The sequence below is a fragment of the Homo sapiens genome, chromosome 2 (genome assembly GCF_000001405.40).
Source record: "Homo sapiens chromosome 2, GRCh38.p14 Primary Assembly".
Classification (NCBI taxonomy): Eukaryota; Metazoa; Chordata; class Mammalia; order Primates; family Hominidae; genus Homo; species Homo sapiens.
Genome location: NC_000002.12, coordinates 44,401,128 through 44,427,065, shown reverse-complemented (window position 1 = coordinate 44,427,065; position 25,938 = coordinate 44,401,128). Strand labels below are relative to the sequence as shown.

The window sequence follows — 25,938 nt, the reverse complement described above, 5'->3', positions numbered from 1 at the left end:
CCTTCCCCCATTGTTGACATTGTAGAACATCAGTTGGTTGTAGGTATATGGCTTTATTTCAGGATTCTCTATTCTGTTCCATTGGTCTATGTGTCTATTTTTGTACCAGTTCCATGCTGTTTTGGTTACTGTAGCCCTGTAGTTTAGTTTAAAATTGTGTAATGTGATGCCTCTGGTTTTGTTCTTTTTGCTTAGGCTTGCTTTGGCTACTTGGGCTCTTTTTTGGTTCCATATGAATTTTAGATAGTTTTTCTAATACTGTGAAAAGTGACATTGGTAATTTCATAGAAATAGCATTGAATCTGTAAATTGCTTTGGGCAGTATGGGCATTTTAATGATATCGATTCTTCCAGTACATGAGCATGGAATGTTTTTCCATTTGTTTGTGTCATCTATAATTTCTTTCAGCAGTGTTTTAAGTTCTCCTCATAGAGATTTTTCACCTCCTTGGTTACAAGTATTCCTAGGTATGTGTATTGTAAATGGGACTGCATTCTTGTTTTGGTTCTCAGCTTGAATGTTATTGGTACATAGAAATGCTACAGATTTTTGTACATTGCTTTTGTATCCTGAGACCTTACTGAAGTCATTTATCAGGTCTAGGAGTCTTTGAGCAGAATCTTCAGGGTTTTCTAGGTACAGAACCACATGGTCAATGAAGAGAGACAATTTAACTTCATTTTTTCCCATCTATATGCCTTTTCTTTCTTTCTCTTGCCTGATTGCTCTGGTTAAGACTTCCAGTACTAAATTGAATAGGAGTGGTAAGAATGGGCATCCTTGTCTTGCTCCAGTTCTTAGGCAGAATGCTTGAAACTTTTGCCAGTTACCAATTATGTTGATTTACCCGCCTTTTCCAATTCTATTTTATGACAACACTAAGTTATTTTCAAAAATATTTAAACTATGTTTTAGTGATAGCATAATTTCTAATTATTTGTATAAAGTAAATTACTTGGTAAAATGATTCTCATGGTATTTTTTTTAAGTCATGAACAAAGCTATTAAGTTTTCTGCTTAAAAGATACAATCCTGGCTGGGCACAGTGGCTCACGCCTGTAATCCCAGCACTTTGGGAGGCCAAGGCGGGTGGATCACCTGAGGTCAGGAGTTCGAGACCAGCCTGACCAACATGGTGAAATCACCTCTCTACTAAAAATACAAAAATTAGCCAGATATGGTGGCACATGCATGTAATCCCAGCTACTTGGGAGGCTGAGGCAGGAGAATGGCTTAAACTCGGGAGGTGGAGGTTGCAGTGAGCCAAGATCATGCTATTGCACTCCAGCCTGGGCAACAAGAGTGAAACTCTGTCTCGGAAAAAAAAAAAAAAGATAGAATACTACATAGAACCAGAGAGATAATACACTGGTCTCCCTGAAATACTCTCTACCTTATACATACGGCTTTTGATTTAACAAATCTTTTGCCCTTTGAAAAATGTAACATCAATTACTCATTGTATGTTACAAAAAAGAAAAAAATAATTGAAGGATCAATCTTATAAACCTGGAATTTTCTTATAAATATATGAATGTAAAAATGAGTCTCAGCCTTTTCTGTAATCAAAACAGTTCATATCAAATGTCATTTTTCTATTGCTCTATTAACTATCAGTCTATAATGACCTTGTCTTTATACTTCTACGATAACTTGCAATTGCTATTTCTCTTCTTTTAGCCATGATATTCTTCTAACAAGGTAGTAAATCTCCACCAAAATGGTTGTTATAATAATGGTTAGTAGACACTAGATAGTCATATCATTAATGTCTTCATAAGTAGATTTGAAATATTGTTGTCTTTTGGTAAGATAATGATAAGATAATGTTTTATTCATTTAAAAACCCAGCCATTAACTATTGTTAGATAGCTTTATTTTTCATTATTCTTTATGTTTATTTTTAATTATTTTATTATTCTGATTCAGAATCTCTAAAGGAGTCCATGCAATTTGAAAATATGCAACATTTTATTCTTTAACTTTGAGTCACAATATTGAATGTGTTCTAATTGTGAATATTACAGGAGGATATGAAATCTATTTATCAAAACGGGTACTTTTTTGTTTCATGTTCTAGATCATGTATATCCCAAAAACTTTACAGTTTTGTCCCCATTCCACTCTGTGTTCTTTTTCTAATTTTTTTATTTCTATAAGTTATTGGGGAACAGGTGGTGTTTGGTTACATGAGTAAGTTCTTTAGTGGTGGTTTGTGAGATTTTGGCACACCCATCACCCGAGCAGTATACACTGCACCCAATTTGTAGTCTTTTATCCCTTACTCCCGTCTCACCCTTTCCCCCTAAGTCCCCAAAGTGCACTGTGTCATTCTTTGCATCCTCATAGCTTAGCTCCCACTTATGAGTGAGAACATATGATGTTTGGTTTTCCATTCCTGAGTTGCTTCACTTAGAATAATAGTCTCCAATCTCATCCAGGTTGCTGTGAATGCCATTAATTCGTTCCTTTTTATGGCTGAGAAGTATTCCGTCAGGCCTGGTAGTTAAAGATCAACTCCTGACCTAACTGCTTGTGTTATCTATAGATTCCAGATATTGTATGAGGAAACATTGTGAAACCTTCTGTTCTGTTCTGCTAGCCCCCATCACTGATGCATGTAGCCCTCAGTCACATAGCCCCCACTTGCGCAATGTATCACGGCCCTTTCACATGGACCCCTTAGAGTTGTAAGCCCATAAAAGGGACAGGAATCTTTACTTTGGGGAGCTTGGACCTTGAGATGAGCGTCTACCGATGCTCCCAGCTGACTAAAGCCCATTCCTTCCTAAAACCGGTGTCCAAGAGGTTTTGTCTGCGACCGCTCCCACTACAGGAGGGCTTGAAAAAAATTAAGAAATACATACGGTACAGAAACATTAGATAATATATAAGGTATAGAAGTGGCATAAGAAAGGAAATATAATAGCAAATAGTATAAGAGGACGAGAAAAGAAAGCTGTGTAAGATGGAAAATATAATTACAAAACACTACTTGGCTCTGTAATGAATGTAATTTGCATAGTTCAAATAATATACATGCTAATTATTCATAAAAACAAAAACAGCTACATACACACCCACATACATACATACATATCTCAGGAATGTTGGCGGGTGGTCAATAAATTTTCTAAAATTGATGAATCAAGAAATACCATGATAAACATATTTTTAAAGAAATATGGAAATAACTGCCAGAAGACTACTTAGAAAAGTTAAAAATGTTGGCCTCTAAGAAGCAGGACAGGTTAGAAAAGGAGACTGTTGATTTTCATTATAAAGCCTTCAATATATTTTATTTTAACTGTATGTATATTTTACTTTGATTTTAAAAACTGAGCCATTACTGTGTCCCAAATGTAGTGTTAAGTGCAGAAAACACAAAGACAAATTAAAACTTCCTGCTCTCCAGCAGTTCATAGTCCATGAGGAAGATGATGTACAAAACAAAATTACAATTCATTGTGATAACTAGGCTCACAGAATTATTTATAAGATGGCATCTCTGCAGCACAGGAAAACAGAAAGGGAGGAGACAGAGAACTGATGCTTGAAGTGCTATTTGAGTTAAGGGTTTTGGCCCAGCGCGATGGCTCATGCCTGTAATGCCAGCACTTCGGGAGGCCAAGGCAGGCAGGTGGATCACTTGAGGTCAGGAGTTCGAGACCAGTGTGGCCAATATGGTAACACCCCGTCTCTACTACAAATACAAAAATTAGACAGGAGTGGTGGTGCATGACTGTAATCCCAGCTACTCAGGAGGCTGAGGCAGGAGAATCACTTGAACCCAGGAGGTAGAGGTTGCAGTGAGCCGAGATCGCACCATTGCACTGCAGCCTGGGTGACAGAGGGAGACTCTGTCTCAAAATAAATAAATAAAATAAAATAAAATAGAGTCCTGATGTCTGAATCTGTGCATATGATTACTGCTCACTCCTAGGATAATTCTACTGAAACCAGGATGATCAGTAGAACAAATATTATTCCTCTTGAGGAATTCTAAAAAATAATTGTTTGTGATACCTTTATTGCTGCTGCAGGTGGAAGATACAGAGTGAAGATGAGAAAGAAAATCTGAGACTGAAGGTGTAATGGACATTTGGTATACCATACCACGTTGATTCTGAACAAGGAGCTCACCTTACAGTGATAAAAATAAAGCCATGAGCTGATAACCCAGAGAATTCACTGGTTCTATGTATCTCTTCATCAAAAAGCAGCTCACCTCTTAGAGAAGCTGAACTGGAAACTCCATTAGAGTGTCAACTGGGAGACAAAACTTTGTGAGAGTAAAACACTGATCTACAAGATAAAATTTATGCTCCATCTGGCTGTTGAGATGTTTGAAAATTAAAAAAAAAAAAAGAAATTTATGTTCCAACTAATGACCAATATATTTGGATAGTCCAATTCTGGACTTTGAATCTTGAGGGAGTAAGGCAAAATACAGATACAGGTGATAAAGTATTTGCAGCAGCAACAGCAGAAGTAGCATTAAGAATCCAGTAGTGCTAGCACTGATGTGTGTCTGAGAGGAGCATCCATACAACAAGACTGATCCTGCACGTTGATCTGTGTAGAGGTTCCTGGCTGGGTCCCTCTGTATTTCCCAAGCCCCATTTTCTAGCCTTCCCAGGTTCTGAGAATTGCCCAATATTCAGCAAATTTATTTCTACATAAGTTAGTCAACATTAATGTGCTAGTCCATTCTTGCATTGCTATAAAGAAATACCTGAGACTGGGTAATTTATAAAGAAAAGAAGTTTAATTGGCTCACAGTTCTACAGGCTGTATAAGTATTGCACCAGCATCTGCTCAGCTTCCGGTGAGGCCTCAGGGAGCTTTTACTCATGAGACAGTGCAAGCGAGGAGCTACACACTTTTAAACAACCAGATTCTGTAAGTACTCACTATTACAAGGACGGCACCAAGCAATGAGGACTCCACCTCCATGACTCAAACACCTCCCACCAGGCCCCACCTCCAACACTGGGGATTACATTTCAATGTGAGATTTGACAGGGACATATATCCAAACTGTATCATGCAGGTTGATCTGTGTAGAGGTTCCTGGGCCTAGCCTGCCTTGGTTCCTCTTTATTTCCCAAGTCCCATTTTCCAGCCTTCAAAATATACTCTGAGAATTGCTTGATATCCAATGAATTTATTTCTACTCAAGTTATTCAACATCAGTTTCTATTACTTTGCAACCAAAAACTCGACACAGAATGGAAATGATGAAACGTCACAGAGATTAAAAGATTCCTAAATCTTTAAAACATTCTTATCCATTGTTGTTCTAAAAACCATAATTGATTCGTGTACCCTAAGTTTTCTCTGTTTTTGATTTAGTAAGAAAAAGAGAATGCTTTCAAAACAAAGAAAATTAGGTATTTTACCTGGAACAATTAAGAATTCTATAAGCCTGTTATGAATATTAAACAAACTTTAGTTATAAAAAGCAAGATAATTTTTTTCACCCATCTTTAACATCCTTGATCTATGTTTCAATTATTTTCTTCATTTTGTACTGTTATTGTGAGTAGCGATGTCATCTTTTAATGTGTTTCAGTGACACATTACTGAGAAAATTTGAAGATATGTTTATTTATTAAAGGATAATTGTATTTATACATTTCTAAAAAGGAATTCTTAGCTGAGAGAGGATCTTTAGTTTATAACTTCAATTTTCATATTGAAGTTTTTTATCTTTAAAAGAGATGTCTGTGGATGTTCTTATCAAACATGTAAATAAAATTTCTTCACATTGCCAAAAAAATTCCAAAGTATTTAACAAAAGACAAAAGTCTTTCTTCAAAACTTTCAAGATCACTGCTCATGAAGAAAGTAAATGAATAGCAGAATATTGTAAACCATTCTGAGGAGACATTAGTCAAGTCTCTTAATGATTTTTTTCTATTTTCCATGGTTTTGAAATTCAATATTTTTCTGACATAAAATATTTTCCCACAACATTAAAAATCACTTCTCAATAAATATTTAATTTTAACCATTGCTACCCTAACAAATATTCAAAGGAAATATATAGCAGATATAAGCAAAGCTGAGAATCAATTTTCTTTGTAAATAAGGATTTAGCACTTTCTTTGTGATCCTCTTGACTACTGTGATGAACAATAGCGAAAAGCTCTGAAAGTGATTAACAAAGATAATGAGGTGACAGTTAATCCCTTAGACAATTAAAAAAAATTACCCAAGGGGGGAAAAAAAAAAAGTAAGCTTCTGCTAGTGGAATATAGGCTATGAAATAAATGATACTCTATCTTGAATGAAAGCCCTGGGTACAAACCTATCAACAAATATTTTAAAAAATATAATTAAATTATTTTAGCTCCAAATTATCCACACTATCTTCTAGGGTTTAGTAATAATGCAGATATTGTCTGGGAGGTGCCTCACTGCTCCCAGGTTTTATACACAGTTGACTCCTGGACAGTTTTCACAAAAAGAAGAGAAAAAAATATATATATATATAGTTGACTCTTGAACAACACATGTTTGAACTGCACAGGTCCACATATACATGGATTTTCATCAATAAAAAAGTCAACTGTAGGTTTATTAATAGTCAAAAGTTATATGCAAATTTTTGATTAGGGAGGAGTCAGCACTCCTAACCCCTGCATTGTTCAAGAGTCAACTTTATTATTTATCTCTACATATATATTGCCCCTCTAGCAATGTAGAGAAAAGTATTGGTTGGATTCTAAGATTAAAGAAAGATAAAAACAATATGAAAGCAACAGTAAATATTAATTAGAAAACAGTCTGAGACTTGACCATATAATTATGCAGAAATATACAAATTATACACAGATTAACATGTCACCTTTTTATTTCATATGCCTGGATGTGATCCTTAGAAATTTTTCAAATAGAAGCCAGAGATTTAAGCTATATCCTATTATTAAACTCACATTACATTTACACAATTAATAAATCTTTACATATAATTATCTAAAATAATTGTGTAATTTCCTCTCCTGAGTATTCACCTAAACTTGGGCGATCAGCAATCTTGTATGAGTATTTTTCAGATGGCAAAAAGCTCTAAATACTAAAAAAAGAAACAATGGCATTACATCATCTATTGTGTCTAATGACTGTGAGACGACTCTTTGCACTTTAAAAAAGATATTAGCAACCACAGAAGAAAAAAAAAATTTTTTTAAAGAGGGGAGGTCTCACCATATTGCCCAGGCTAGAGTGCAGTGGCTATTCACAGGTGTGATCATTGTGCACAATAGCTTTGAATTCTTGGGCTCAAGTGATCCTCCTACCTCAGCCTCTGCCTCTTGGAAAAATAACATTTTTAGCATGCGCCTGTGTCCTAGCTACCTGGGAGTTTAAGGCAGAAAGATTACTTGAGCCCAGAAGTTCAGGGTTACGGTGATGACTGTGCCACTGCACTCCAGGCTGGGTGACAGAGCGAGACTGTCTTTTAACAACAACATTGGGTTAAAATCAAGATGTATGCAAATTACTATCTGTTCTAGAGGCCTAGAGGAGAATCTATTTCCTTGCCATTACAAGCTTCTAGAAGCTGCGAACATCCTTTGGCTCACTGCTGCCTTCTTTCCTCTTCCAGATGGGGGAATAGGAGGCCACCACTAGAACTGCTGAGTTCAAGAATACATACCTGAGATTTAGGGATCAGGAAGCTGCCATCGTACCTTCCACTTTCACCCATGAAGCTAATGACCAAACACTGGAATGCTTTTGTAGAAACATTCAACATGTCCATCACTGTGCTTTCCAGCAGAAAGAGCTGGCCAAGGCATCATCTTAGGTCCACATTTCAAATCTCATCTAAGTGCATCTAAGTGGTACAACCTAATTCATATTTAGCACCTTAGCTGCGACGGAATCTGGAAAAGTAGTTTTAGTTTGCCTGCTTCTTCAGATCTCATAAATAGCACATACTTTAAATCAAAAGGGCTTTTTCTAATAATTTAGCTTGAAATATATTTCCTTGTTTCAATAACTGATTTCTAGCAACAAAAACCAGGAAATTAAAATGTTTAAAAGATTATTTAAAATATTATTTTTAAAATGCAATATTTAGGAATAAATTTAACAAAATATAGGCAAGACCTGTAAAATGAAAAATACAAAACTTTACTAAGAGAAATTAAGGAATACCTACATAAAGAGACAACCATATCAGGTTTATAGATTGGATGACCAAATATTGTTAAAATGTCAATTCTCCCCAAATTCAGCTACAAATTTAGTGCCATCCAATCAAAATTGTAGTAGACTTCTTAGCAGACATTGATAAGTTTAGCCTAAAATTTGTATGGAAATGCAAGAACCTAGAATGGACAAAACAATTTTGAAAAAACGAAAACAAATTCAGAGGACTTACATTATCCCATTTCCAGACTCACTATGAAGCTATAATAATCATGACAATGTAGTGCCATTGGCATAAAAGATGGATCAATGAAACAGAATACAGACTCTAGAAAAGACTAACACGTATTTGGGTAAATGATTTTCAAAAAGGATGTGCAACAGTAAGTTAATGGAGAAATGACAGTGTTTTCAATCAATGATACCAAAACAACCAAATACCCACGTGAAAAACAACAACAACAAAAACAACAACAAAAGAACCTTAACTTCTACCTCATGTTATATGTATATATTAACTCAAAATGGACCATAGACTAAAAATATAAAAGCCAGAACTATAAAACTTCTAGAAGAACACATAAAAAAAAAAATTCATAGATTTTTTTAAACAGGATACACAAAGGAGGAAATACTCTTAGTACATGCCTGACAAAAGACTTGTCTTCAGAGTATATAATAAGCTCTTACAATTCTTTTTTTTTTTTTTTTTGAGACAGAGTTCCGCTCTTGTCGCCCAGGCTAGAGTGCAATGGCGCGATCTTGGCTCACTGCAACCTCTGCCTCCCAGGTTCAATCGATTCTCCCGCCTCAGCCTCCAGAGTATTTGGGATTATAGGCACGTGCCACCATGCCCGACTACTTTTTATATTTTTGGTAGAGATGGGGTTTCGCCATGTTGGTCAGGCTGGTCTCAAATTCCTGACCTCAGGTATCTACCCGCCTCGGCTTCCCAAAGTGCTGGGATTACAGGCATGAGCCACAATGCCCGGCCTACAACTCATTAAGACAATCTGATTTTTAAAATGGGCAAAACATTTGACATACACTTCACAGATGAAGATATATGAATGACCAATAAGCACATGAAAAGATGTTCAACGTCATCGTCATCAGGAATCTGCATAGAACCGCAATGAGATACACTACACACCTAGCAGAATGGTTAAAGATAATTGACAGTACCAAGCATTAGCAAAAATGTGAAGCAACTGGAACTCTCATACATTATTAGTGGCAATGTAAAATAGTACAACCACTTGGGAAAACAGTTTGGTAATATCTTACAAAGTTAAATGTACACTTATACAATCTAACAATTCTACTCCTAGGTATTTACCCAAGAGAAAGAAAAACACATGTCCACACACACAAAAACTTGTATATGAATGTTCACACTAGTTTTATGCAAAACAGCCCAAAACCGGAAACAACCTGAATGTCTATCAATAGATGAATACATAAATGAATTGTGGGCATATTTATTTTTCATTTTTATTTTTTATTTTTTGAGACAGAGTCTTCCTCTTTCACCCAGGCTGGAGTGCAGTGGTGCAATCTCACCTCACTGCAACCTCTGCCTCCCGGATTCAAGCAATTCTCCTGCCTCAGCCTCCTGAGTAGCTGGGATTACAGGTGTGCACTACCACGCCCAGCTAATTTTTTTTGTATTTTTAGTAGTGACAGGGTTTCACCATGTTGGTCAGGCTGGTCTTGAACTCCTGACCTCGTGATCCGCGCCTCAGCCTCCCAAAGTGTGGCCATATTTATACAACGCAATACTACTCGGGAATAAAAAGGAAACAAAGCCAGGCATGATGATACATGTCTGTAATCCCAGCAACCCAGGAGGCTAAGGTAGGAGGATCACTTAAGCCCAGGATTTTCAGGTTTCAGTGAGCCATGATCAGGCCACTACACTCCAGCCTGGGCAACAGAGGGAGACCCTGTCTCTAAAAAAAGTGAAAAAAATAAAGAAACGAACAACAGATACACACCACAATATGGATGAATCTCAAAAACATCATGCTGGCCAGGTGCGGTGGCTCACACCTGTAATACCAACAATTTGGGAGGCTGAGGCGGGTGGATCACCTGAGGTTAGGAGTTAGAGACCAGCCTGGCCAACATAGTGAAACCCTGTCCCTACTAAAAATACAAAAATTAGCCGGGTGTGGTTGTGGGCACCTGTAATCACAGCTACTTAGGAGGCTGAGGCAGGGAGAATCACTTGAACCCAGGAGGCACAGGTTGCAGTGAGCCAAGATCACACCATTGCACTCCAGCCTAGGCGACAGAGCAAGACTCCATCTCAAAAAAAAAAAAAAAAAAAAAAATCATGCTAAGTGAAATATATTAGGGAAAAAAAAGAGAACATATAAGAATGCATTTATATGAAACACGAGAAGAGTTTAATCTAATCAATAGTGACAGAGAGTAGATCAGTTTTTACCCGAGAAGTAGTATTTGACTGGAAGAAAAACAGAAGAAAACATTCTGGGGTGATAGAAATGTTCCATAGGTTACATGAATGTATAAAACTTTCAAAACTCATTAAAATGTACATCAAAATTGGTGCATTTCTGTAAATTATATCTCATTAAAGCTGATATTTTAACAAATTAAATAAGAGTAAACTAAATCATACATTACTTTTAAATTTTTTCAATGATCTATACTTGTTCTGTTAAGATATGAAAATCCCTCTTTCTTCAAACACATGGCACCCAAAACATATCCATTAACATTGTTACGTAGGTATGTACCTATTGCTTTTTTCTTTAAATAATAAATGCCCTAAACCCAACCATACTTCATAAATTGATATTACTTGATGAAGCATTTAGTTAACTGAAACAATTATTCAGTATCTTAAAAGGATTTTGAATAATGTTAGTTCACATTTAGATTGACATGAGAAGAATCAAACCTACAACCATTTACTAAACTATTACGTGCAGCTTAGCCAACATTAGTAGCAATTTCCCTTTAAAAACAATATTTGAATTTAAAACATAACAGAGTATTATGAATCACAGCATGATTTAGTGTGTAGGGGTTAGAAATGAAGTACTGAATATATGTATAAGGGGATGCAAAATACTTTGAAAAGGAATACTATGATTTCTAGCACACTTCCCACCCAGGGATTTCAATTTCCATTCTATGGCAGCCACTTGAAGAAATGTGGAATCATTGTTTTCATAAAATTGAAGACTTTAAACGTATAATTCCTTCTCTAAACTGTGATTTCATTATAGATTTCACTCATGTGCATACACACACACACAATTTGCTCTCTGTTTACATTAGAAATTTATACAAGTAATGCAAAGTGACCAACTTAAAGGCCAAGAAAAAGACTCAAAGAAATTATTGCCACTAATTTATTCATGTGATTATCTTAATTTGTATCACTATCACCAGAGTCTGGAGACAGTGGAAATAACGAATTAACATAGGACTGGCAAGACTGATTTGTAACCACATACTGTCAAAAAAAACATTTAACCTCTAGTCTGGCTGTCTTGCAAAGCAAACAAAATTATCCTCTGTAGTGAACTAAACCTGGACCTATAAAGAAGGAAAATTTAAAAACAAGTCATTTTCTTTAAGTACTCTTCCTAAATATCTGCTACCTACTTGATGAAATCTTTTAGTAACTCAGTTGTACATACCAGGCCTAACACCAAGTGATCTGATAATCTGACACATATCTAGTAAGAATAATACCCAGAATTTTTTTTCTTTTTTCCGAGACGGAGTCTCACTCTATCACCAGGCTGGAGTGCAGTGGCGCCATCTCAGCTCACTGCATTCTCTGCCTCCCGGGTTCAAGTGATTTCCTGCCTCAGCCTCCTGAGTAGCTAGGACTACAGGCACACCGCCATGCCCAGATAATGTTTGTATTTTTAGTAGAGATGGGGTTTTACCATGTTGGCCAGGATGGTCTCCATCTCTTGACCTCGTGATCCGCCCGCCTCGGCCTCCCAGCATGCTGGGATTACAGGCATAAGCCACCACGCCTGGCCGATTTTTTAAAAATTCAAACTTAGCTCCTCTAGCTGTACTAATCTAAATGCTAGACAGTTCAAGTGTAGCTTTGGAGACTTACAGATAGCCAGCTAGAGAACTACCAATGATGATATCCATCACGAGGAGTTTGGTGGCCAGCCTCCAAGATGGTCCTCAATGATCTTTGCATCTTCATATTTCCACCCTGTGTAGTCCCCTCTCTCAGGGGATTAGGGTTGGTCTGTATGATCACCACATGGCTGCAGTAATGGTATGTCACTTCTGAAATTAGGTTATAAAAGACTATGACTCTCATCTTGGGTGTCCACTCTCTGTCTCTCTGATCTTACACTCTAGTGGAAGCTGCCATATTGTGAACCTCATGGAAGGCCCACAGGGTGAAAAACTGAAGCATCTAATCAACAGTTAGCAAGAAACTGAGGCCTGCCAACAACCATGTGAGTGACCCCGGAAAGATTTTCCAGTCCCAGTCAAGCACTGAGATAACGGCAACCTCAGCTGACAGCTTAACTGCAACCTGATAAAGACACCCTGGGCCAGAACCATAGGAACCATTCATACCCAAATTCCTGATCTTCAGGAACTTTGTTAGATAATAAATATTTGTTTTAAGCTGCTAAATTTGGGGCAATGTGCTATATAGCAATAAATAATACATGGAGATAATATTTTCTTTCCTTTGGAACAACCAGAAAATAACCATTATATTCCCCTACAAGCAATCACCTCTGGCTAACTACTCTACAATAGAGTTGCCAGAGATATGAGGATGTGGGACAGGTTTGGGAGAGGGTATCATTCAAGTTATCCTGCCAATGTATAGTCAAAAGGCCTACCAACTGGCATACCAATACAATGCCACCCTGAGCCTGGCTACTAAATATCCTGTCTAGAAAGCTAAAATATTACTATGAATCTTGTATTGAGTTCTCAAACAAGGATAAATCAGGCATGAAAATATATTGAATGAGGTCTAAAATTTATTAATTGTGCAACTCATGACCAGATATTAAATCAAGTCTTCTGGAACAGTATGGTAGTTCCAAATTTCTAACTATAACTCCTTTTAAAGCATCATCTTCATTTTGCCTGCTTTTTAAGTGAACAACACAGTAGATATAAGCCAAGTGTTGAAAAATAATTTTCAATTCAACAAATGTATATATTTCCCATGGATCCATTTCTTAAATTTCTTTTTCTTTTCTTTTTTTTTTTTTTGAGACGGAGTCTCACTCTGTCACCCTGACTTAAGTGCAGTGGCGCAATCTTGGCTCACTGTGACCTCTACCGCCCCAGTTCAACCGATTCTCCTGCCTCAGCCTCCCAAGAAGCTAGGATTATAGGCGCATGCCACCCTGCCCGGCTAATTTTTGTATTTTTAGTAGACACGGGGTTTCACTACGTTGTCCAGGCTGGTCTTGAACTCCTGACCTCATGATCCACCCGCCTTGGCCTCCCAAAGTGCTGGGATTACAGGCATGAGCCACCATGCCTGGCCTCTTAATTTCTTTACTAATAGTACGTGATGGTTATATTTAGATTAAAATGCTCTTCTCTAAATATCTACCTGCCTCTTTCATTTGACCCTACATTTTGAGATGAGGAGAAATCAAGCAGAGAAACAATGTACACTGTGACTTTAATGTATAGGATCACTCAAGTGAAAAACAACAGAGATTAATACTGCCATTCAGCACTTGTAATCAGCCCCCAGAGAACTGTACAGAATAGATAACACCATTAGTTTATTATTTATTTATTTATTTATTTAATTTATTTTATTTTATTTTTTTTGAGATGGAGTCCTGCTCTGTTGCTCAGGCTGGAGTGTGGTGGCACAATCTCAGCTCCCTGCAACCTCTGCTTCCCGGGTTCAAGCCATTCTCCTGCCTCCGCCCCCCTAATAGCTGGGTTTACAGGCGCACGCCACCACACCTGGCTAATTTTTGTATTTTTAGTGGAGACGGGGTTTCACCATGTTGGTCAAGCTGGTCTCAAACTCCTGACCTCAGGTAATCTGCCCACCTCCGCCTCCCAAAGTGCTGGGATTACAGGCGTGAGCCACCGTGCCCAGCCTCTTTATTTTTAAACTACATTCCAAATTGAATTTTTAGGATATTTTGAGGATGTTTCCTATTGCTTAAGTTACTGCTTATTTACTTATTCAGTGTCAAAATAGTTTTAGAAGGCTTGTAAGTAATTCAATGAAATGTATTGAGTCAAAAGACTCACCTGGCTGGGCCCAGTGGCTCACGCCTGTAAACACAGCACTTTGGGAGGCCAAGATGGGTGGATCACCTGAGGTCAGGAATTTAAGACCAGCCTGGCCAATATGGCAAAAGCTGTCTCTACTAAAAATACAAAAAATTAGCTGGGCGTGGTGGCAGGCACCTGTAATCCCAGCCACTCGGGAAGCCGAGGCAGGAGAATTGCTTGAACCTGGGAGGCAGAGGTTGCAGTGAGCCAAGATTGTGCCATTGTACTTCAGCCTAGGCGACAGAGCCAGACTCTGTCTCAAAAACAAAAACAAACAAACAAAAAAAACTTAAACAAACATTATAATGGCCCAAAAACAATTTGTGTCAAAGATATGCTAGCCATTATTTTGGTTTGAACCCCCATTGTATGTACGGGAGTAGAACAGGCATCGCAGGGGGTGTACAGAATAAATGGACAGACTCTTTGTGGGTTATCACTAGCTATTGGAGTCAATACATTGAAACGTAATGCGCGTGACAAGCAGTTCCATCTCCTTGTGGTTACTTTTATATGCTGTGTTTTCTCTGATAATGTCTTTATCCTAGAAGAGTCCTGGCTGAAGAATTACGGAGGATTCAGTGCAAATCTACACTGTCTGCTAAAAAAAAAAAAAAAAAAAAAAAAAAAAAAATTGAAGAGAATGTTCATGTTACATATTAATTGGTTATGTATCCAAAGCCAAAGTTTCTTAATAATGTTAATGATACTTTGGGCAATGAATCAACAATGAAAGAGAGGTTAAAGATTTAGCTGAAATTGAAGCCCCCAGGATGCCAATTTAAAAAAAATTAAAAAGACTACCTTGAATGATGACTTTAAAAAAACTAAGGCAACTGGTGGAAACCATTTAAAAAATAGTTTGATGAATGGAATTTTACAAAAATACTTGAGACAAAACTTGGGGAAAGGATACAATACATAAGAGAAAGACAATAATGTTACATTGTCCAAGGCAGTATTTATTTGCATATTCAATATACTAATGAATAAAATATGAAAAAAAGTCTGGTACTCAGGATTTTTTTCTAAATTTTAACCCTTATTCAGAATCATGAGGCACCGACAGACTATTAAAATCTCTCTGAGAATCTGTAGGTTACCTAATCCAGATGCATTCACTTCATAAATGAGGGAGCTAAAATCTAGAGATAACATATGACCAAGGTCAAATTTTCTAATACATGCAATTGAGTATAAAGTATACATTTCCTTGGAGTCTAAATCTTCAGAAACTTTATAAACCAAATGTCACTTTTCTATAAGACAATGTCTTTTTTTCACCTTTGTATCCCCAGTGCTTAGCCTAGTACTTGCCACGCAATAGTCACTCAAATATGTAATGAGTAAACGAATGAATGCTCAGCTAGCCAGAATATTACTCACAAAAATACCTACCCTAACAAATCTGGATGCCCAGGAATATAATGTACAAGGTTTTGTCTATAAAGACCGCAAATTACATTTGTTCAAACAAGAGAAGTATTTTAAAAAACTAAATCAAATTTTCAACTTTTAGAAATTCTACAAGTAGGAACTAATGGGTATGACAGTAAAGGCCATTTCTGATAACACTCAAGATGGGTATTCAAAAGATTACATTTCCTTTATTAAGGTATATAATCCCAATAGGAACATCTTAACCAAAAGTTATTTATTACTTTAGAACTATCAATTACTTTTAAAAATTAATTTTATACATAATGATACATTTCATTTTAAAAAGTAATTGCTTCATTTTTAGATGGGGGGTGGGGAGCTAAAATTCACCAATCCTTAAACAGAATTTGTTTGTTTTTAACCTCTTAAAACTCTTTAATCTCTGGGTATATTGCTATCCCATTAGTATCAGACAATTACTCTTTGCTTCAGCAATCCTTCACTTGTTAATGAAGTTATTTCTCCAAATTACTATATCCGTCTTTTAGCATATTAAAGAACAGGCAACTGACATATTGCTTTGAATTAATTAGAATATGTTCCCTTTAGGTGAAATGACAGTCATCAGAGTCTATGTTGGGCTTTCAATAGATTTGGAATTTCAGGGTTGATTGTACCTCTCAATTTTAAGATCTCCCACATTTTACATTGGCATGAAAGTATGCTGATAAATCACAAAAAGAGTCTTGTAAAATATACTTCCTGGCTAACAAGGTGAAACCCCATCTTTACTAAAAATACAAAAAAAATTAGCTGGGCGAGGTGGCGGGCACCTGTAGTCCCAGCTACTCGGGAGGCTGAGGCAGGAGAAGGGGGTGAACCCCTGGGGGCAGAGCCTGCAGTGAGCCAAGATCGCGCCACTGCACTCCAGCGTGGGCGACAGAGCAAGACTCCGTCTCAAAAAAAAAAAAAAAAAAAAAAAAAAATATATATATATATATACTGATACCTGACTAATTACTTAAGTTTGTCAGGATACACGTATTACTACTGGATTACTGGTCTCTCACATTCTGCTTCTTTGGTAGTACATGGTAAGAAACTGCTGAAAAATACCCCCTACCAGTTTCATACTTTTCTACAGATATATAAAAACCATGCTACATAAAGAAAACATACTAAAAACTATACACAGCTCTCAGCTCTTCTCTATACTTCCACAGCAGTTATTTCCTACTTTTATTAAAACATATTATAGTTCATCAAATTATTTGTCTATTTCATTAAACTCTAAACCATTTGAGAACAAGGACCAGATATTATTTCTCTTTATACCCCAGGACCTAACAGATTGTCTAGCATGGTAAATATTGGTTAACTGAATTACTGAATGAACAAACGACACAGTCCTTACATACATCTCCATCATATTGCTTCTCTGCATTTTGACAATTAAAAAAACAGTGATTTTCCATATGAATTATTTTATTAAAATATCTATAAATTACAGAGTATTCCACAATTAAAGATAAAATGTTTTCTATTACCATCTTAAGACATAATGTATGATCTCACATTTTTACAACAATGTCAAGTCTTCTATGTTTTTTAATATTTAGCCATCCAAATCTGCCACTGTAAGAGTTGCTAGTCTTACTATAAAATGGCTTTAAGATATGCTTTGAGGCCAAAGAAGTATATAAAAACTTGACAAAATTCCAAATTTACTTATTTGTGATAACGCAATAACATCTACTTTTAGAATCAAACCAAGATTCATGTGAAATTTCAAGAGGAGATAAAAAACCAGCCAATACCTAATTTGTAAATCATACAACCCCACATGATATGAAAGTGTAAATGTTTCTGAGTCTGAAGAACATAACAAATGTCACGGTAGAAATCACCAGTAAGTCATGATTATCTCTAGGAGTCCAAATGTCAACTAACTATTAAGATAATACATACCTGCAAGAATGCCGGATTCATAACAAAGCACTGGCTGGATACTACGTTGAATTTTGGCTAGTTGTCTTTATGTAGCAATATACATATATATATATATATATATATATATATATATATATATATATATATATATATATATATATATATATATATATATATATATATATATATATATATATATATATCGGCTGAAATAACAACTAAAAATTAAAAATATAGAAGCAGGCTGGGTGCGGTGGCTCATGCCTGTAATCCTGACTCTTTGGGAGGCCGAGGCAGGCAAATCGCTTGAGCTCAGGAGTTCAAGACCAGCCTGGGCAACGTGGCAAAACACTGTCTCTATAAAAAATACAAATATTAGCCAGGTGTGGTGGTGTGCACCTGTAGTCCCAGCTACCCAGGAGGCTGGGGTGGGAGAATTGCTTGGGCCCAGAAAGTTGAGGCTGCAGTGAGCCATGATCATGCCACTATACTCTGGCCTGGGTGACAGAGCAAGACCCTGTCTCAAAAAAATTAATTAATTAATTAAATTTAACATAGGAGCTTCTTGATTGGATGTTTCTGAATACTAGCTTTCCTTACTAGATATCTGAGTCTTGGGAGGCAGAGTAATAAAACAAAATGAGTTCAGACTTTGAAGTTATACTAACCTTATTCAAAGTCATGCTCTAATTTAAACTAGCTGAGTGGCCTTGAGCAACTCACTTAACTCTTCTGAGATACAGTTTCTTCATCTGAAGATGTAAAGAAATAAATAGGAAATAATAATTTATGTATTGCAGGGCTTTAATAAAAGAGGTCAATGCCTAGACAAAAACAAACAATAAAAAACAAGAAACCTTTCTATAAACTAGAGCTACTATTATCATTTTACTGTTATTGTCATTATCTTTACTTTACTTACAAGTAACTCTTTATAGCAATCTATAAAGAGTAAAAGACGGCCAGGCGCGGTGGCTCACGCCTGTAATCCCAGAACTTTGGGAGGCCGAGGTGGGTGGATCACAAGGTTAGTAGATCGAGACCAGCCTAGCCAATATGGTGAAACCCCATCTTTATTAAAAATACAAAAATTAGCTGGACGTGGTGGTGTGCACCTGTAGTCCCAGCTACTCGGGAGGCTGAGGCAGGAAAATCGCTTGAACCTGGGAGGTGGAGGTTGCAGTGAGCCGAGATCACGTCACTGCACTCCAGCCTGGGGACAGAGTGAGACTCCATCTCAAAAAAAAAAAAAAAAAAAGACATGCTCTACTGTTGTCTTCTGCCTCTAAACCAACCCAGGCCTCAATTAAGTTTCCCTGATCATTCCCAGTATACTGGGAAATCTATTAGTACAACTTACTATTACAGTTGAGCCATATGCTTCTGAAGCCCCAACTTTTAGTAAAGTGCAGCAAGAGACAATGACTGACTAACTGAATGAATGAATGACATCTTGAGGTATAGAATAACTGATTTAAGAAAAAATACTTTCACATCAAATTGCAGCTGCCTATCATTATTTTATCTTAACCTACCCAAGATGCCCTCTTGCCTTCAGTCTGCCCATCTAAGTCCTAATCCTTTTAGCCATGGCTCAACCCATATCTTCTGCATTAAATATTACCTAATTAACAAACATCTGTATAGTACCAAATAAAGTAAACTAAATGTTTCACTGCTACATCAGATAGTAGTATCATTTCCATTTTACTGCAGAGGTTCATAAGGTTAACTTGGCCAAGACAATCTCCACCTCATTCTTACCTTGCCCTGACACTAGGCAAAAGACACCTGCTGCTGTGAAAGGGGAGAAAACCCACTCATGCCAAGGATCCTGCACTAATACAAAGCAAAAGTGTATTGCCGTCTGGGGAGAAGCACAAACATTGAAAACGTCTAACCCCTGAGACTCATGTGCACAGGGTATGGCCAAGAATGAGCCCTCCAGGCCCTACCACAAGCCTTGAACCAACTTAACAGTCTACTTCTAGAGAGGCTCAGGAGCACAGAGATCTGTCATACAGGGGTGCAAAGTCTGCTGAAAGCTGTGAAGGGAGCAAAATTATTGAAAAAAACTCTCTAAGACCCCAGGCTCTAAACTAAGCACAAGATAATGATAGCCCACCAGAACAACTGCAGATAACTACAGCAACAACAAAACCAAACTCAGTTTCACTACTGCCTAAATTGACTTAATCTCCTACACTAATGACCTAACAGAAGAGGCATGACCACTTTTGGGCATGAATCTTATTACCTTAGTCCCTGCTGTCCTTTTACACACGATGTCTGGAATCCAATTAAAAAGCACAAGAGACTGTTCCAGTTAAGTAGACAGAAATTATAAAGAATAGCATAGATATAAAAAAATAATTTGGCTGGGCGCAATGGCTCACGCCTGTAATCCCAGCACTTTGGGAAGATGTGGTGTGGTGGGCGGATTGCTTGAGCCCAGGAGTTCTAGACCAGCCTGGCTGGGCAACATGGAGAAACCTCGTTCCTACAAAACCATACAAAAAACAAGCAGGGCCTGGTAGTGCGCTTCCATAGTCCCAGCTACTTGGGAGGCTGAGGTGGGAGGATCACCTGGGTCCAGGAAGTTGCGGATGCAGTAGGCCATGATGGTGCCACTGCATTCCAGCCTGGGCAACAGAGTGAGACGTTGTCTCAAAAATAATAATAATTTAATGTTAATAAACATTTTACAATTAATCTCCCCAGAAAACTTACCAATAAAACAACAACAACAAAAAAGATAAACAAAACAAATGTGCTAAACACACACACACACAAAGACACTGGGGTGGTATTAAAGAGAAACTCAAGGGTGACAATTCTAAAATAAAATATGTAGGTTGAAACTATCTGTAAGTATCTGAATAGGAATATCTCTTATAATAAATCAAACTTATTATAACTCCAAACTCAACATTTACTAGGGCACAATTTGAACAACAGATGTTATATAAATTCCCCTTTTAAAAAATGGTAATTAAAAAAAAAAGACTTAAGGCAAAATGACAAAGGCGCTTGGTTAGGAACTTTTGGAGCAATGCTATAATTGAAAGCAGAGAATATAATTAGAGGCATACTAAAACACAAAAAGAAATGCCCAACTGTCAGGTGAAACATGAATTCTATTACCTGCTTAGTATCTTTCCAATACATTTCTTTTTGTCTAAGTTGGCTAGACTCAGTTTCTGTTGCTCACAACCAAAGAACCCTAACTGATATAACTAGATACCCTTGGTTCCAAGTTAAATATGGTCTGTTGAAAATGGGACATCTTTAACTATGAAATTGATTGGTTCAGTTACCATAACAAAAAGGCTTAAAGTTTAGGCACAGATTTTAGGAGAATACTGAATTAATATATAAAAGGCCAAAGTCTCCTTTCTAATTATTACCCAGCAATTTCTGTTAGAAGTTTGGGAATAGAATCAGAGTTGAATATACATTTCATAGGCATGAGCTATCAATCCATTTATGTTTCTTTCCAAAGGCAAATTATGATCTAATTCATCATTTAGTTTCTTATGCATATCACTTTCTGTGTCTCTTTACAGCTTTAAAAATGAGTTATTATTATCTTGGATGAATTGACATTCATTTTTTAAATATTTTATTTTTAAATTTTTTTCAAATCTTCATTACATTTTCCCCAAAAGTAACACATACTTGAAACAAATTAAGTACAAAGATTAATAAAGTTAATTTTTCTTCTACCCCATTCCTTCAAGTTCCGATTTCCTAAAATAAGCAACTTTGATAAATTGGTATATATGCCTTCACAGCTTTTTGCAATATTCATAGCTTCTTTTTATTAAAATGAAATTACATTTTATGCATTACTCAACACCTAAAAATACATCTTGGACATCCCTCCAGAATATAGCATATAACTCAATCCATTCTTTTTGATTGCTATATAATATTGTATGGACACACTATAATTTATCCAACAATTCCATTAGTAATGGAAGTACAGCTGTCAGACTGTTTTCAAGTTATGTTCCTTTCCAGTCCAAATAGTGCTATATTTAACATCCTTGCTCATCTGTCTTTATGAGCTAGAGGACTGACACCCAAAAGTGGGATTATTGGGTCAAAAGAAATGAAAAATGATACTTAACCTCTTTTAAACCTTGTATTTAGATAGATTTTAATATACACAAAAACATAGAGATAGAAAATAATGAACTCCCATGTATCTATCATTCATTTTTTACAATTGCCCAATTTCAATGCTCCCTTTTCCCCTTGTCTAAGAAATTTAAACACAACGCATTTTCGTATTTTTGCCTCCATGAAAGACTCTAAAAGTTTATCAAAATCCTTTTTGGAGCACTAGTTATATAGTAACCACCAGCATTTATATTCTCTTTAATATTATACATAACATCTTTTTTTAAAAAGACACTCTTAATATTCACTTCCTCCTTCCACTAAGCTCTCTGCAATGGAGAAACAGCAGAATCAAAGCATCTAAGACAGTAGAAAAAGAAACTAGGAAAGATCATCCTAAAAGCATAAAAAGACCTTGAGAAGGAACAATATCGAGACAGGCACACAGGTATATTAAGTGACAGAGGCAACAAAGAGAAAGAAAAGAGAAACATTAAGTAGATTTTTAAAAGCTAGCATTAGCTGGTAGGAAAAGTACTTAAGGGATTGCTGGTGGTCTGAGTGGGAAATTTAAGCAAAGAAATAGCAATTCATGAGGAATAGGGCATGCTATTTGAATGTATTTTTGAACTAGTTGCTTAAAATATATTGCACTGATCAAAAAACTAGATGAATAGCAACTTAGTGCTCTCCTAGCAAAAGATATCTGGAGGGGAAAATATCGCCAATATGTAACAAAATAACACGTATGTATTTTAAAAGACGAGTAACACCCCTACTAAAGAAGAACAATGGAAAATGCATACATATGTACACACATATGCAAAAATGATACTAATATGAACATGTTCCTGGAGGGGAAAACAAGCCATGTAATGAAATTTTAAATGCATTGTAAATTATTTTGTATAGTGAATATTTTCTAAAATAATCATATCCTAATTTATTTACTTAAAGTGTGGTTTGCTTTTTTAAATAATAAGTTCACTAATCCACAAAGCATATATTGGGTATTCATTATATGCCAGGCACTGTACAAACAAAACATCACTCCTGCCTTCTGGAAGCTTACAGTCTAGTAAGTGATTTAGACATAGTTATAACACAATGTGATATGTTTTAATGGTATATTAAATTAAAAAGTCTATAGGTAAACATAGAAAGGACCAATAAACTATAGCTTAGGAGAGTCAGGAAAAGCTTTATAGGTGACATCTGAGTTGAATCTTGAAGGCTGAAGAATTCAGAAATTAGGGAAGAAAGAATTTCTAAAATTTATGCAAAGCCTTGGTGATTTATCTCAATACATGTAAACTGGAAATGCTGTTCTAGTGTAGATTTGACAAGAACCATATGTAGTCTAATTAAATGAAGTATTAAAAATTTTATTACCTTATTTTTAAGTGATTATAGCATTTATGTGAAATTAATGTATATGAGTGCATATATGTGTGTATGCGTTAAAGATGGCAGCTAAAGATGTTAGAGTGAATCTACCTATTAGCTTCCCTCTCTTCCTGACACCCCACCTAAAATAAAAGTAAGTACATTTAGAAACAAAATGAAGGTTCATAAAGGCACAAAAAGCTGAATCTTAAATCAGCAGTAGTGAGAAGCTAAGAAGCAACCGGAGTTACATGTCTACGAGTAGAGTACAAGGATGGACTAAACACAGAAGAATTTGTTGAAAATCTACTTACAAAACAATTAGATCTTGAAATCTCATCTCTTATTCCAAAGATTTGTGCAACTACCCTTGCTCCATCCTGTCAGATGTCTTCGGGTCTAGTCTCTCCAGACTGGAAGGCATTCGTGCAGCTCAAGGAGGGTGGTGGTAAGGAAGGTAAAATACTTTTTAATTGGGGGTGGAGTAACTGAATCAGGGGGTTGAGTAACTGAGGACTCTTCTTATCCATCTTCCAAAATGCTAGCTGCTAAGGTATACATACTGCCCAAAGCAGCAAACTCAAAAGTGTTTTCTCTGATAAACTGGCCAGCTCAAGGGAAACACCATATGGACAGCCAGGGTTCCCTAAGAATCAACCCAACCAGATCATCCCACAGAGGAAACTGTAATATCAGTGTCCCTTCCAATCAGTTTTGTAGTACACAACTCTTAAGGATCATCAGAAATGTAATGAAAGCCTCTACTGTAACAGACAGAGACCAAAGAAAAGAAACAGAAAAAGCGATTTAAAGGAAACAAAGACTATAAAGACAGAAAAAAAAAAAAAACTTTCAGTAATATCTTCAAAAAAAGCAAGAAAGGCAATTAAGAAATATGAAAAGAATGCTATGGGGGAAAAAGCTAAGAAAAGAGAAAAAGAACTTTTGGACATTAAAAAGCGTAAAAATAGAAATAAAAAACTCAACAGAAAGGTTAAAAGTAAAGAAAAAGTAAAAAAAAAAAAAAAAAAACAGCAAAACAAAAGATGAAAAGATAATTAGAGAACTGTCCAGGATGCACAACATTCAAAAAATGGAAGTTTCTGAAAGAAACAGAGAAAACAGATGGAAGAAAGTCATTAAAAGAGTAATTCAAAAAAATTTTCCAGACTGAAAAATATGACTTTCTAAACTGAAAAGTGCCCAAGAAATGTCCAACACAATGTTTGAAAATACAGCCACACAAAGATATTTTATCATAAAATATTGGAATAATGGGAATAACAGAAGATTCAATCAACAGAGAATTAACAAGTTTCATAAAAATGATAAGTTAGAATAGCATTGGACTACTCAAATGCAACTCTAGAAGCTATGACACATTACTGTAAAACTTTGAAGGGGAAATTGTTTTAAATTCTATCTTTTTTTTTTTTTTTTTTTTTAGACAGAGTCTTGCTGTGTCACCCAAGCTGGGGTGCAATGGTGCGATATTGGCTCACTGCAAGCTCTGCCTCCCGGGTTCAAGCAATTCTTCTGCCTCAGCCTCCCGAGTAGCTATGATTACAGGCACCTGCCACCAGGCCTGGCTAATTTTTTTGTATCTTTAGTAGAGACGGGGTTTCACCATGTTGGCCAGGCTGGTCTCGAACGCCCAACCTCAGGTGATCCACCCGCCTTGGCCTCCCAAAGTCCTGGGACTATAGGCGTGAGCCACCGCGCCCGGCCAATTCTATCATTTTATATCCAACCAAAGTATCACAAGTTCTCAAAAAATTACTTCCCCTTACTTTCTCAGGAAGCTACTGGAGTTTATAATCCTCCAAAACAACAGACCAAACAAAAAGGAAGCCATGGAATTTAGAACGAGATACAAAACAAAAGAAATGAAATGAATCCTCAAGATGATAGTGAGGGAAGATGTCAAGATGCTTGTTGCTGGTGTAGAGGTCAAACTGGAAGACATCAGAAGGCTTCAGAAAAGACTCCGAAAGCAAGAAATTGATCTACATATAGATAATTTTAACTGAAAATATATTAAACCTTAAAAATGTACAAATAAAATCATGTCCTGAGACAATATGTTCAAGCCATTAAATTCATATTTAATGTAGTTATTCAAGCCATTTTTTTGCCAAAATTCTAAAAATTGTTAGCAGGGTAAATTCTTCATTGGTGAAGCAATGTAGCTATTTTAAATTTTATTTTATTTTTTTTTTTGAGACAGAGTCTCTGTCACCCAGTCTGGAGTGCAGTGACACAATCTCAGCTCACTGCAACCTCCGCCTCCCGGGTTCAATAGATTCACCTGCCTCAGCCTCTTGAATAGCTAAGACTACAGGCGTCCGCCACCATGCCTGGCTAATTTTTCTGTTTTTAGTAGAGATGGAGTTTCACCATGTTGGCCAGGCTGGTCTCAAACTCCTGACCTCAGGTGATCCACCCGCCTCACCTCCCAAAGTGCTGAGATTACAGGCGTGAGCCACTGTGCCCCGTCTTTGTATTATTTTTAAAACATGTTTGCTGGTGAGAAGTCAGATATAGTTCACAGAAATCATCCAAGTACCTGGATGCATCAGATACTGAGATATTTATCCAAATTTAACTTGCAGTAGTTTCTTCAACATGTGTAGAAAGAATGTTTT

At 36.5% G+C, this 25,938-nt stretch overlaps 1 protein-coding gene and 1 long non-coding RNA gene across 8 annotated transcripts in view; both read right to left on the bottom strand.

The window, feature by feature from the left end:
- The window catches only part of CAMKMT (calmodulin-lysine N-methyltransferase), a 410,646-nt gene that overhangs the window by 345,527 nt on the left and 39,181 nt on the right, over positions 1-25,938 (bottom strand). The gene's annotated exons all lie outside the window — the stretch shown is intronic.
- LOC124907759 (uncharacterized) lies at positions 5,153-25,933 on the bottom strand. The gene is made up of 2 exons (XR_007086304.1): positions 25,860-25,933; positions 5,153-15,053 (listed from the first exon to the last, which is right to left on the bottom strand). It is a non-coding gene; the product is annotated as an uncharacterized LOC124907759 (long non-coding RNA).